The sequence below is a fragment of the Homo sapiens genome, chromosome 15 (assembly GCF_000001405.40).
Source record: "Homo sapiens chromosome 15, GRCh38.p14 Primary Assembly".
NCBI lineage: Eukaryota > Metazoa > Chordata > Mammalia > Primates > Hominidae > Homo > Homo sapiens.
Genome location: NC_000015.10, coordinates 37,077,328 through 37,091,336, shown reverse-complemented (window position 1 = coordinate 37,091,336; position 14,009 = coordinate 37,077,328). Strand labels below are relative to the sequence as shown.

General features: G+C 35.4%; 1 protein-coding gene across 9 annotated transcripts in view; it reads left to right on the top strand.

Annotated features, from left to right (window-relative positions):
* The window catches only part of MEIS2 (Meis homeobox 2), a 212,108-nt gene that overhangs the window by 9,975 nt on the left and 188,124 nt on the right, over window positions 1–14,009 (top strand). For all 9 annotated transcript variants that reach the window (NR_051953.2, NM_002399.4, NM_001220482.2 and 6 more), the window contains one exon: window positions 7,452–7,566. Coding sequence is in view for 8 of the 9 variants with exons in the window: in NM_002399.4 (NP_002390.1) it covers window positions 7,452–7,566 (115 nt within the window). In the remaining variant the exon portion in view is untranslated. The remainder of the gene's footprint in view (window positions 1–7,451; window positions 7,567–14,009) is intronic.

Here is a 14,009-nt window from a genome sequence, read left to right as displayed (position 1 = left end):
GATTTGCCACAGACTTGTATTTTATGCAGGGACATGAGAGAAAACCTTGGAGAGTTTTCACCATTTTTGAGACTTTTGTACCATAGGTGTATTGATTGTATTCATGTCCAGGCTTCCCCCTTCAAAGCAAATCCTCTTATGCTTTTCAGCCTCTTCTACAAAGTTGCCTTCCTTCAACCCCCTAGCCAAACACAAAGTAAAAATAACAAAGAACCACTACCTGAAAAGTGGTGTGAGTGGGACATTTTCAGCATGTAAATGTGCCCAATTTGAATCTTCAGGTTTATTTTTCATTTGCTTTGATATGCATATTTAATACATTGCCCCAGGCTGGATCTCATTTGGTGAACACTGGTGCAGGGGTGATGATGAGCCACTTCAGAAAGGCCCAGACAGCGCGTTGTTTTCTTGTTTTATCTGTTGGCCCACTATTCTGATCTGAGCTTCCTCTTGGTTTTATTTGCACATGAAATGCTGAGAGCATTTCAACTTATTGGCTATGAATAATGACAGCTAAAAAAGAAGTGTAGTTTAATTTGTTGTATGCCAAGGTTTCTCTTGTGGAGGTGACAGTTTGTGACAGCTGTTTGACACCCCCAAAACACATACACCTCTACTCTTATTAAGTGGTATCCAGCTTCATTGTGTGTGTGTGTGCATACTCGTGTGTGTGCATGTTTAAGGAAGGAACATGCAAGGAGAGAGAGAAAAGCAGAGAGAAATGCATCAGAAGCAAAATATTAGGTACCAATATAGTTTCAGTATTCTTTAAAAGAATTTGAAAATGTAAATAAATAAAAGTAATAAATATAAATATCTTCAAAGCAAGTATATTGGCAGACTTAAGAATAAGTTTTATATATTATTAGTAAATCCTGTTCACATTTCATAAAGTTATATAAATAATTTGATATAACAGATGCATTAGAAGAAGACAACCATAATATTCTTGCTTTCCATTCCTTACATTCAGTGAGGTTACTGAGTTTATTCATTTATTATTAACACTTACATATGATGGGTGTAATGGAAAGAGGAAGTTTGGAATTAAATAGAAAATAAAATAAGCAATATTGATTACAATTTCGTTGTATTTAGTAAATTTATAATGCATGCTTATGTTTTTAATATTATAATGTATTTTGTCTTTTACTATAACATAATAATAATATTTATAGGTAGGAAAGAGCTATTACAATATTTTTGGAATATTGGGGAGAAAAAAATATATAATAGTCGAAGGAAATAGAACTCTGTTTTCCAGCTGCAGTTCATGTTAGTTTCCTAGACATTCAAATTTATCATGTTTAAAATAAATATGTCTAAAAAACAATTTTTAAAGAAGTTTCAACTTGAAAACTGCTGTGAAATGACCAGCTTTTTCTAGCATGTGGAGTTCCTGAATAACAGGTGATACTCACATTATCTATTTTACACAATTTTAGATCAGATATTTAGACCTAGTACAGACAAAGAAAATACATCCTCACATTTACATGTAAAGATATTACATGTAAAGATATTACATGTAAAGTTCAGACAAATGAAATCTACTTGCTTGAAGTATATTCTCTGAGCTAAGCTCTATTTTCTTGAAGCAAATACAGTTATACAATTATATTGTTATTCCTAGTTAGTGGTCATAAAGAGCTACATTTTTATTTTATTTGAAAGAATTCAGTAGAGGAAAGAAAATACAATTATGTCTGTTAACAGTTAATAGCAGATACCTTAAAATTGCCTGGATCTACTAACACCACTAAGAAAAGAAAACTTATTGTATATTTATATGTTGAAAGCTGTAATTTAAATGAAGATATTCTGGTGTTTTCTTTTGCATCTCTGAATATATCAAGTTTATGTTGACACAGTTTGTTTGTTTGTTTGTTTTTTCAAATGGGTTAGGTCAGAGAGGAGACTCTCCAGAATCTTATTTCTGATAGAATATGGGCAAGTGACTCTAGATAAATTCAATTACTACCTGAAAAATTAGAGGGAAGTGACAGTGAGGGGTGGGATAGGTTCAAGTGGTTGTTCTATAGAATATCAAGGGGGAAATAATGAAATTGGATAATAATATGAATGCTTTATTTTATTTGCTAGTTTCTTATGTTTTAGTGTAAGGTGAGACCTTATGGTATGCTATTCAAAGCCTCTGGGGCCTATTCCGATAAAGTTCTACTTCTGAGCTCTGTCCACCAACTCAAGGAAGCATGGCTGGGTGCGTGGATTTTCTGTTGTGTTGCTGCTGCGTGGTTTCTGGTGGTTGTTAGCTTTCTTAATTCCCCATTAAGAATAATTATACTATTTAAATCATTTAGACTGTGCAGTTGGAGTATGTTTTCAGTGTAACTGTGATGAGATGAAATTAAACAAAGGTTGTAATTGACAACCACATAGACATTCCCTATCAGATTTTTTGAAAATTGGCATTCTTTAATTCATTTTCTTTTTTTAATACTAAATGTTCTATGGAATATCCCAACACAATTCAAAGTTTTAAGAGGCATTTTATAATATGGCATTACACCAACAATACAAGACATTTCTGTCTTCTCTAAAAGTTGCTCGACTAAATGGAGAAATCATTTGCAAAGGGTGCTTGCCACTTCTGTGAGAGTTGCTTACATATTAATCCCAAAGCTTAATAGAGAGGTAGAAGTGGGGAGGTGAGGGAAGGACCCCAGCTTTATTTACATTTTTAAAGAGTGAGTCCAGGTTCTGAAAGCACACATAGGTCTCCTGACTTCTTATGTCAACTTTACAACACCGGAGTTGAAATTCCAACATTTGTTCAAACCACACAATTAACATTTTTAACTTTTGTAGACTTCAGTACCCCAAGATAGGAGTCCTTGTTTTATTTTTAAAAATATTTTTTGCATAATGTTAATTAGGAGTTAAAACATTATAAAGTTATGGGAAATAAGTAATTTAATTATGTATGTTGATACAAGTATATCTTCCCTTTGTTGTTTAAATATATTGAGTCAAATTAGTTGTACATGCTTCATTTACTGATTAAAATATCTTTATGTATGTTTACTATTACTCTCTACCTATGAGCACATACCCTGAGTTACTTTATTCTATTTTCCAAGTTTACATGTAATTTTTCTCTTGATGTTATATAGTTGTGTAGGTTCTAGAAGTTATCTGGTCTAACTTCTTAATTTTAAAGAGATAAAGGAAATGAGCCCCATAGAAATGAGGTACATCACTTGCTTAAGTTCACCTGACTGGTGAGAGGTGGCATGCCAGCATCTTAATTCCAATCTAATGTTTTCTTTCCTATACCATGTCCACTGCATTGCCTTTTCATTTGGGATCTAAAATGAGTTTCAGATTATTTTAGATAGAACTTGTATGTGGCATGGCCTTTGCTTTTCTCCTTGAAGCCTCATACATTTTACTTCTCCATTCAGTTTTGTATTTATTTACAAACACTTTATACATTTCACCCCACTGGCCCCATGGAAGAACCATGTGCCATGTGGAATCATTTAAATAGGGAAATAACACCAATTCACCGAGACTTATTAAGTATTCTCTTATAGGTAGGTCCCTCATGGAAATGCCATAATGGTTTAAAATGTTACAATTCCAGTGTATCTGCAACTTCAACAAGAGAGGCACACATATGATTTGCTTCCTATGCCCAGAGACTCCTGTCCTCTCTATGCTCTTTTCTAGATTTAGCAAAATTCAATGATAGTGCTAAATCAATTTTTTTTTTTAACTTTCAAGGGAGAAAACACTGGCACAATTGTGTTTTCTAGGGAAAGCTGTGTGTAAATGAGAAACAGAGTAGAGCAGCAGAGCGCTCTCCTGTGGCCCCACTACTACAAGCTCTGCCCATATTGTCTCCTGCTTTTATATTAATTACAACTTGCATTATCAGCTGTGAGTCTGTAGCCCAGCAAATAGAAAATACTGCCCCTAGAGACCTAGCTTCTTGTATCTATTTTCCATCTCCTTCTATTGTGCTCCACTCAGTATTCACTGCTTTTCTCCTGGTAACACTGCTCTGTAACACAATTACGTAAGAGCAAGAAGAGTACCATATTTGACTCCCAATTACCAAAGCCACTGGGAATAGAAACATGTTCACTCCTTGCCCTCGGGTGTCTTCATGATTTTTTTGGCTGGAGAACAGGACATATATTGTGGCATGCATATACCTGAATGCTCAGTCATACACGGGCACCCGGCGAGCGTTTCTCTTTATTTTTCTACTTGCATCATGTGTTTTTACATGCTTTTGTATGTCACTTTGGTTTCAGGATTCACTAAACTTCTGCATATAATTTGGCAGAAAGCCATGCCATTTTTCTTGAAGGATGGAAACTTGTAAACTCTAAGGGGAAGAATAGAAGAAAGGAGTTGTGATATAAACAAATATTTTAATCTCAGGGAAAACAAATTGTTAAAAGTAATAGGTTTTGTCCATCCATGTCAGTGACAGTTTTTTATGACCAAGGAGGAACAATTTTTTGTTGACCAGATTATCAACATTTGTATTTGTATATGATCACATCACCACCTTGTGTAGCTCAATACAAACAACTTGTGGTAACTCCTCAGCCTTGAAACCCCAGAGGGATTTATCTGTTCTTCCTTCTTTCAAATCAGATGACTATCGTGTGATAGTCCTTAGTTGGTGTTCAGTCTCTCAAACAAGACCATAATACTTGAGACACTCTATGGGAAATAAACATGACACTTTTTCAGGAGAGCATTTTTAAAGAGTGAGAAAGAAAAGAGGGAAGAGATAAGGGAATGGTAGGTTAAAGAGTGAACTTAAGCATATTTTGGGAATGGGCAGAAAACCAAAGACCCAATTTATTTGGAAGAACCAGCTGCTCTTAAAAGTAATATTTGCTTCTGTGGCTTATTTTTCACCCCTTTACTTTAGAAAACATCTCCTTCAGATACCATTGAAAGAAATACACTGAATTATAAACGAATGAGGCCTAACTTGAAAACTCAGCACCAGTTTAGCTGATAGGGACAAACCAGTGTTTTCAGTTACAGGAAGTCCTTCTGAGTGATCCCTTCAAATCAATGCAGCACCTAAACAGAAAGACTTGCTCCGGCTTCATATAAACGATTATATAATAGCTATTGGATGACATTTGCCTTAAAACATAGTTGAGGTGTTAGTGGTTAATTATTATAATTTTCATGAGGGGTAAGGAGCTTTTATAGCAGCCAGCTTAATAAAAAGCCTGCAGTGCATAAAATTAACATCATTGCTGTGTACAATGAAAAGTTTAGCTTAGGTGAATATGTTGCAGCTATTGCATTTTCTAAAAGAAGCCTCTAGCCTGTGTTGTCGCAGGACTAAACTCACACCATGCTATTGCTTCTTTTTCTTTTCTTTCTTTTTTTTTCCATGTAATTCTTCTAGCTCTTTATCTCATTACCGCCCGGCAAACAGCTGACACGAAGAGGCTTCAAAGCTTGAGGAGCCCCTGTATTCTGTTTGCCTTTTGCTTGAAACTATTGGAGTGGTTTCTAACTTAGATTAAAAAGAGAGCTCACAGGCATGACTTTGTCTTTCTACAGGCAGCAGAAAACCTTGACTTTTATTTTATTCTACTCAATTTCATTCCCTAATCTACTTTCTCAAACATATCCTTATTTTAGAGATCTATACCTGTGCCATATTTGTAGTCACAAAATTTCTGCTCAGGGTTTTCACTTTGAATCAATTGCTTGCCTGATAGCAGTGCCAGTATCATTATTTTATATAGATGTTATTAATCCATAGAGCTCTGGATTATTATTTCATAATCTATCAAAAATGCCAAATATTAATTCACAGTCAGTTTGCTGCAGATCTGTAGGGGGAAAAATAAGTTTTGTAGTTCCAAATAAGAACATTTCCCTATTTTTTTCTCACCTTGGTTTCTTGTTTTATTTTGGTAACATCATCCATGCTATATGTACACTGTAGAGTTGATGCTGAGAAAAATGACAGACTGACTTCTTTTCTTGATGAACTATACATAATGGCAACATGGCAAGATTACTTTCCCTTGGTCAAGAGGTTTATTTGTTGCCTATACCCACGTGGCTCTGTCTGAATTCTTATTTACCAATTCTAGTAAGAAACAGTGTATACTTTGATTGGTTTTTTTAGTGATATACTTTGTATATTTTGATTGGTTTTTTTAGTGATATACTTTGTATACTTTGATTGGTGTATAATTTGTATACTTCGATTGGTGTATACTTTGTAAAATTTGTATACTTTGATTGGTGTATACCTTGTATACTTCAGTATATACTTAGATTGGTATATACTTTGTATACTTTGATTGGTTTTGAGGAACTATTTTGCCCCTTCCTCTGGCCCCCAAATCATTCACTTGCCAGTAGGTCTGTGGGCTTAATTGAAGTCGTCATATGCAGGTGACAAGTGTACAGCTCTGGCTTTAAGGCTGGACTGTTTCGTATGCTGTTCCTCCTCTCCGTTTCTGCCAGAGGAAATTCCATCTCTTGCCTGCCTTCATGTGGTGCTGATAAAGTCCTTCCTGTACATTAGAATTCCTGTTTTCCTTTAAGCAACAGCAGGGCATTGGGAATGATCAGGAAAAGGGAGGAGGAACAGAAGAAGAATATACTCAGCCAAGTAGCATGAGCTATAACTCTTGGTTTGCCTTGCATGTCCTTTGAAACAAGTAGTTCTTCTAGGAAAAAGCACTGCTCAGTGAATTTCAAGCTTCCATGAAGCTCAAGTGAAACTCCTCTCTAGCTTACTAGATGGACAGTAGTTCACACATGTTTCCTTTTTTTAAATTATTTCTACAAATTAAAGCAAAAATCAATAATTTATTAGGTATTGATACAGTGATTAATATCATTACCTTTGTTGGTTATATAGTCAATCAGTTGATAATTTTGAGAGTTTGTATAGGTTGTTTTAGGGCAATGCATTTGAAAGATGTCAAGGGCTGTCCCATACATTGTGGAGCCTGTAATTTTTTTAATGGAGTCATTGAATTTTGCAGATGTGAATGTTCTGAAGTATTGAGTGTCCAAGAGCATCGGGACCTATTTCTTAGTAGAATGTACCCTAATTAAGATAGCGAGAGTAAAAATGACTTTTACATTTTTCATAATTTTTTTTTACTTTAGAAATTAACTTTGTTTAGGTTTAAATTTGTATATAATAAAATTTACCCATTTAAAGTATACACTTAAATTAGTTTTAACCAACATATACACTGGTGTAACCATCACCACATCAAGTTCTAGAACATCTTTTCTTTTATATACCTATTACTAAAAAGACAGCACACCATAACATGGCATGCGTATATGCCTACTGCCACAAATACTAATATGTATACATTTTTTTGTCTCTTTCTGTGCCGTTCCTTTTGGTTCTTCATTGATGGCTGAAATGGTAACTGTGGAAAAATTCCTTGGTATCCTGACATCAGAACCCTTCTTCTTGGCGAGACCACGATGATGCAACCTCAACCCACTCAGCAGGCACCCCAGGGCCCTCCAGTGGGGGCCATGCTTCCCAGAGCGGAGACAACAGCAGTGAGCAAGGTAAAAGGTCAAACATTTTCCTCGTGCAAAGTAGGCATGACTAAAATAACTTCAGTATTTTATGATATCAGTACATCTGCCGCCATGTAAACAGGAGAGTGGCAGGTTAGGGAGTAGAATCAGCTGCTATTTAAAGAGACAGTATTTCCTCTTCTTAACTTACTTTCCTTAAAAAAAGAAATCAAAGTGAGCTGTCTAATCTTTAAGTAGGCATTACAATAACAATTGATTAGTTCTGCCAATTCTTTTACAAATTTGGTTATCTACACTTTATTTCTGTGTGTATAAGTGGAATCACAGGCCTGCTTTACTGCTGTGATGCAGTAGCTTGAATTGTGCTATAAATAGCATATTTTGCCTGTAATATCAACTATAAGCATTCTCTATAATCAAGCAATTATGCCTCTAAAGCACATAAAATTTAAAAATCTGTTCTTATTAGCTCTGGAAATATTGTGGAATTTTACATGGAATCTTATCTTGGGAAGGTAGATTTTGAAATTCTTAGAGGATTATTTGTCCCCATTTCCATTCAGCTGACATGGTGACTTTTGTCACAAGTCCTAAAAATTAGAATAATCAGAGGGCAAGGGGGACATCAACTGCAGATGTTGAGGAAGCCTAGTGCAATTTAGAATAAATTTTACTATTTAAAACTCACCTATTGCACAGAGAGCAATTATATATTGGTAGGAATGACTCATCTATGGCTAAAATGATAATTTAAAGGAAGATGCATTATTGAATGTGGGCCAGGGAAGTGTATAGATTTTACTTTTTAATATTTTACATTAGATGGTGTCTGATCTCCTAGGTCTATTTCATCTCTATTATGACTGTGTTTATGGCCACGATATTTAAGTCTTAGACAGGCTTCCAAGTAGAGGACAGTTTAACAGCTCGAGCTGTAGTTATATATGCCATTTAAAAGAGGGTGTTGATGTAAGTAGGGTGCCTTTTGTCCTCCAAGCTTCTGACTAGGAATTTTGGATTTCTGAGGTTCTAGAAGAGTCTAGAAAAATGTCCTTTCTAGGATGCCATTCATTTGTGAATGGGTCCAAATTAGAATCTAGGTTTAAGCAAATTGAAACTAACACAGCGATGAATCATATCAGACGGCAAATTATGGAAGAACTTGCAACTTGCACCTATATAATATATACTGTTTTATATACTGTTTTATTTTACCAGTTAGTTTCTATATAAAAGATAAGTAAATTATAAGGCATTTTCAAGGTAACTGGTACATAGGGTCAATGGATCTGCAAGCAATGACTTAACTGTGGTTCCATGTCACAGTGATGGACTTCTCAGCATGGTTAAATCTGGAAAGCTTTCTATGACTCCATCCTTCCCACCACCCCAAATTGCGGCGACACAAAGGGTGAAATGTATCTATTAATAAAAACAAAATACTCTAAACATTGTATAAAAGAGGGGAAAAGGAGAAGCCGACTTAATGGTCTAATGAGGCTATCTTCCAGAGACTTCTTGTGTGTGAGGCTCACTTTGACCTTTCGCTTTGCTCAGGAGCCCAGCGCCTCATTTTTCACATTCTTGCAATTACGTTAACGCTTCAAGCATTTCTGACTCCAAGTCAGCTAGCAACACCAGGCATAACTCAACACTGTGAGTTTTTCTCCTCTCTGTAGATTCATTAACAGGTCACCAAGGTCCCAACTGAAATTTAAAACTGACTGGTTCTGTTGGGTTAGTTGAGTTATGGCAAGGGAGATAGCAAGAAAGGGCCAGAGAGAAGAGGAGGTGGGAGAAAGAAGAACCCAGGTTTTGGAGTGGGGATTACTTGTAATAACGAGCAAAGCATAAAGTTTTAGCGTTTCGGTTAGTTAGTTTTGTTTTTTAGGAAAGAGAAGAATTCTGAGACTGATATATAGGTAAAAACAATCACACAAACTTCTGTGCTGTGGGTAGATGCACCCACTTATCCAATGCTGAAGGATTTGATCCCTGTAGGATTCTGTTCCTTTAATCATGTCTCTGCGGGATTAAAGAATGGACATGGTAGCTTATGTGTATGAGTACTAGGAAGTCAGTCATTTTACTGTATCGAAGTTTGAAAGAAAAAAAAGGTATGATTTCTATAAAATGGGGACTATTTTGGCATAGAAAATTTCCTACCTGGCTTACCACATCAGTGATTAAAACACATATATAAGAGCATTCTGGCTTTTTACAGCAGACTTTAAAATTTGAAGGCCAGACTTGAGTGTATGTTGTCATACTCATGCCTATATTAGTCTTTTAAACAGGGTTTCAAGGTATTTTGATATTTTGTCCCACCGAATTGTCCAGAGTAGTTTCAGTGGGAAAGATTAATTATCTGCTTCAGGGCAAAGTCAACAGAGATATTGACTGAAATCGCATATGCTTATCCTAGGTTAAATCTTAGGGTTGATGTATAATGGAAAACGTGGGAGAGAAATTTATGTCCTTAGTATTAAATATATTATAATGTTTCATTGGAAATCAAGTTTGTAGTTTCGCAAAGAGTTTTCGCATTCAGAATTTATTAGCAAAACAGGCATATGGAAAACTGTAAAATGATTCAGTTTCAAAACAAATTATGATAAACACAAAAAATAGGGATGAATTGTACTAAATACAATGTTTTCATACACATTTTAAATTAAACTTTAATAGCCACATGCTATAAAACAATACATGTATTTATGTTGCTTTATAATTTTTGTGATTATGTTTACTATAATGATTCATAGAAACTTTACTTTGGAACCTAAAAATACCTTGTTTTATGACCTGATAGTGAAACAGCTACAGTTACACAGGTGAAAGTTCATCTTTTCCTCCATAGTGTTTCAGCAATGAACCAAAAGGAGGAGAAAAAATGTATATCACATTTTTAAAATATCTTAAGAAATAAACTTGGTAAAATGTGAAACCTGACTTTACTATCTTTCAAAGAGCACATGTCTAACAGTAAGCTATATAAATATGAACCAGACTTTTCATTCACTGATTTCTCTTGCTAAAAGCAGCCAAAGGAAGGGAGTTTGTCTTGTTAGTCACATTAGACGGAGGAAGAAAATCTGGTTTTTCAAGGATGGAATTAGGGTGCAGACTTGGGGCTCTGGGGAAGTAACTGGCCCTCTTTGTGTCTGGCTTCCCATCAGTAAAATGGGGTTTGATAATAAGTCTAGAGATCCCTAATTCTGTACCTGCTGAGTCAAAAGCTGCTTTGTATTTCACTGTGTATTTTGCCAGAGTAACGACTAGGAAGCAGCCCCTTGTTCCTAGAGCACTTTGAGAGCCTTAGATGAAAGACACAATATATGTACAAAGTATTATTATTATTGATGGGTTTGTGTAGCTCCCATTAACGCTGATGGGAGTTACGCATGTGAATTGGCAAGAGAATAGACCCCTCAGTGTTTAGAGCACATGAAATTTACATTTTTTCCAGTGCTGTAATTGAGATGTTGACAAATTGGAGAATATTGATGAGCCTTTGTTTTAAGTATTTCGTGCCAAGTTTGTTTTATTTTTCCTGGTTTGAACAATGGTATGGGTTCAGCCGCAATGAATAAAAAGGGTAGAGTAAAGATAACTTTGTATTTCAATATTTTGATGTGCCAATATGAAATAAATTGTCTTAGGCAAATGGAATATGCTGTTTTAATCATTAGCTATGCATGAAAGAAAAATTGATGTTGACATCTTTGCTGTAAAATCGTTGTAATGGGGCCTTCCTTACAATTCATTTTTGTAAAATTCATTTTGTACATTTTGCAGCAATTGAACAATCCCTGCACTGTGAATAGGCAGGATTCCCAGAAATACCGAGACAGTTGGCCCAGTAACTGCTGAGCTCACACTGCACACCACACGCACGTTAACCATACTGTTGCCAGACCCAGTTAACCTAAATACATTAGCATTCTAGAATCTATATTGCTCTAATCTTTCAGGACACAGGGCTGTACAAGCCAGCATAGTTCTCCCTAACTCTGCCACCTACCACGTCCCTCTGTTGATGTCCCCATCTATTTTCCAGGCGATGAGGCTAGAATTCCTCATAGCTAGATATTTATTTATGTATTATACAGTTGTTTAGCAATCATGGTGTTGAAACCTACAAATATCTCCTTAGTAGTGAATGTAAGTGTTTATAGGTAAGCAAATGTCTAAGATAGTATTGCACTTTTGAGCTTATAATACATGTTATAGTTATAAAATAGTATTTTTTTCCCACCAAAGTATTCCAGTTATATATTTAAAGAGGAGGAGGGGGCTTCAAACCCACTTACTGTGGGTCCTGAATATGTTCTACTGGGATTTCTTATTCAGTCTAGGAAAACTCTGTCAATGGAATGTTTTCATAGTGGCGGCAATCTCTTTAAAATAACCCTAAATACAATATGACAGATGCCATCTGGCATAATCTTTTGCTAGTTGCTTCTAACTTTTATTTTTCCTAGAGCTAAGTTCATCCAAAACTGGTCACTTACTGTTATGATAAATACAATGACATTTTTTTTCCTTCCTGTCCTCCTAATTGTGTCAAAAAAATTCTGTGAGACTATAATTGATAATTGAACATTGCCATAGAATAAACTGTTGTATATGGACTATTTACATTGCATTTTCTTTCTCTTTTCTCCCCCCAAATAAAATTTAAAATAATGCCATTCTTTAACCATCAGCAAACATCCAAAGATTTTCTGTTGATTTTTCTCAAGACTTTTTAGAGTAGTAACCATTAGAAGTAAAATTAAATTCTTCTAATAAATAAATGCTCTAGGAGCATGTAATGGTGCCCATAAATGCTTAAAAGGTTTCTATAATTGCTGTTAATTTTGAGTAATTTCTTCCTATATGTATCAACTTACTTGAGAAACCCAGATTTGGGATTTCTAGATTTTTTTTTTAACTGAGTCATGTAAAGGGATGTCTCCTGATGCCAGTTAGAGTTTAATTTAGAGTAGTAATTAAACTTGAATACTGCCTCATAAACAAAAGATAAACAATAAACCAGCCACGTTCCCTGCTGTTTCATAGCTTTCTTTCCCAGATGTTTTAGCCTGATAATTTTTACACAGTGAACTACCTAACATGGAGTTTTGTGGACAGAGGTAGAAAATGAGTTTTCTTTTTTGGTGTTTTTTTTTTTTTTTTTTTTTTTTTTTGGTTGTTTTTTCCTGGCAATCCTTTTTTCCTTCCAAAAAGCAAAATGCAAAGGATTTTTCATTATTTAGATTTTTTTAAAACTCTGGTGAAATAGATATTTAATGGAGATGTGCTTTAATGGTAACTATGGTTTTTTTCCTTAGATATTGCTTTTTTTTTTTTTCAAAATTAATTTGGTCATGAATGTCTTTCACATCTGGTAATTGAAAGAGAACCATATTTTTATTTAAGTAAAATCTCGATAATAAGTCAAAGAAAGAAAAGCTTGACAGTGGAGAATTTTTCTTTTTACCCTTCTTGCCACTTCTCACCGGCATGCATTCCCACTCACGGCCAGTGTTACTCTATGGCTCTGCTCTTCCTTGGGCTACAAGGGTTTCTCTGTCCAGTTCTAGACTCTTCCACTGTCAGCCATGATCTTTCTAATTGTCAGGTACGAGTCAGCCGTTCAATGCAGAAGCCATGTTATTTTCACTGGGTGGGGTAATTACTGAAAGCTGAGAATAGCTGCACTAAAGACAGAGGGATACTTTCATGATCCCATTAGCATAAGAGTGGGTAAATTATTCATGCCAAGTGAGGATTCTATGGGGAAAAGTATAGTTAATGCACATAGTTTTTAAATGTATCCCTTTCTGCTCTGAGACTAAATTCTTGTTGGAATCAGTTCTCAGACATTTACGGGAAAGCTCTGGTGGCGTGTTAGATGCAGTTCATCTCTCTCTGTTTGCAGCGCTCTCAATAGAGACCATCTGGCAAAGATCCAAAAGGTGATTAAACAAAATGATCAGCTCTTGTTGCTGTGTTACATGTCCAATACTCTGGATTAAAAAACATGACCCAGGACAGTCAAGCTAACGTCATGCCGCGCCCCCTTCCCCCTCCCCTCTCGGTATAAGAATTCAGATGGTCCACAAATGTGTGTGCCATCTTTGTGTCCTTATGGCCCATAATCATGAACAGGTTGTGCAAATGGCTCTTTCTGTAGCACTGTCTGTTCCAGCACCATAGAAGCATTTCATATTAATTGGGTCAGTCTAATATTCATATTGACATGGGGAAAAATTACTAAAATTTATTCTTATAGCAGACAATGAATATGTGTGCTTTCTGCCATGAGGGAAGTGAAATCTGACAACTGGCTTGTGCAACTGATTAATTTTTCTTGAAACTGGAGAAAATCAAAGCATGAAAAACTGTCATTCTCTGAAAGCAATGCACAACCCTTTTATAACTAAACAAAATGGATTGGGTAGGGGGCTTTCGGGGAACTTGTA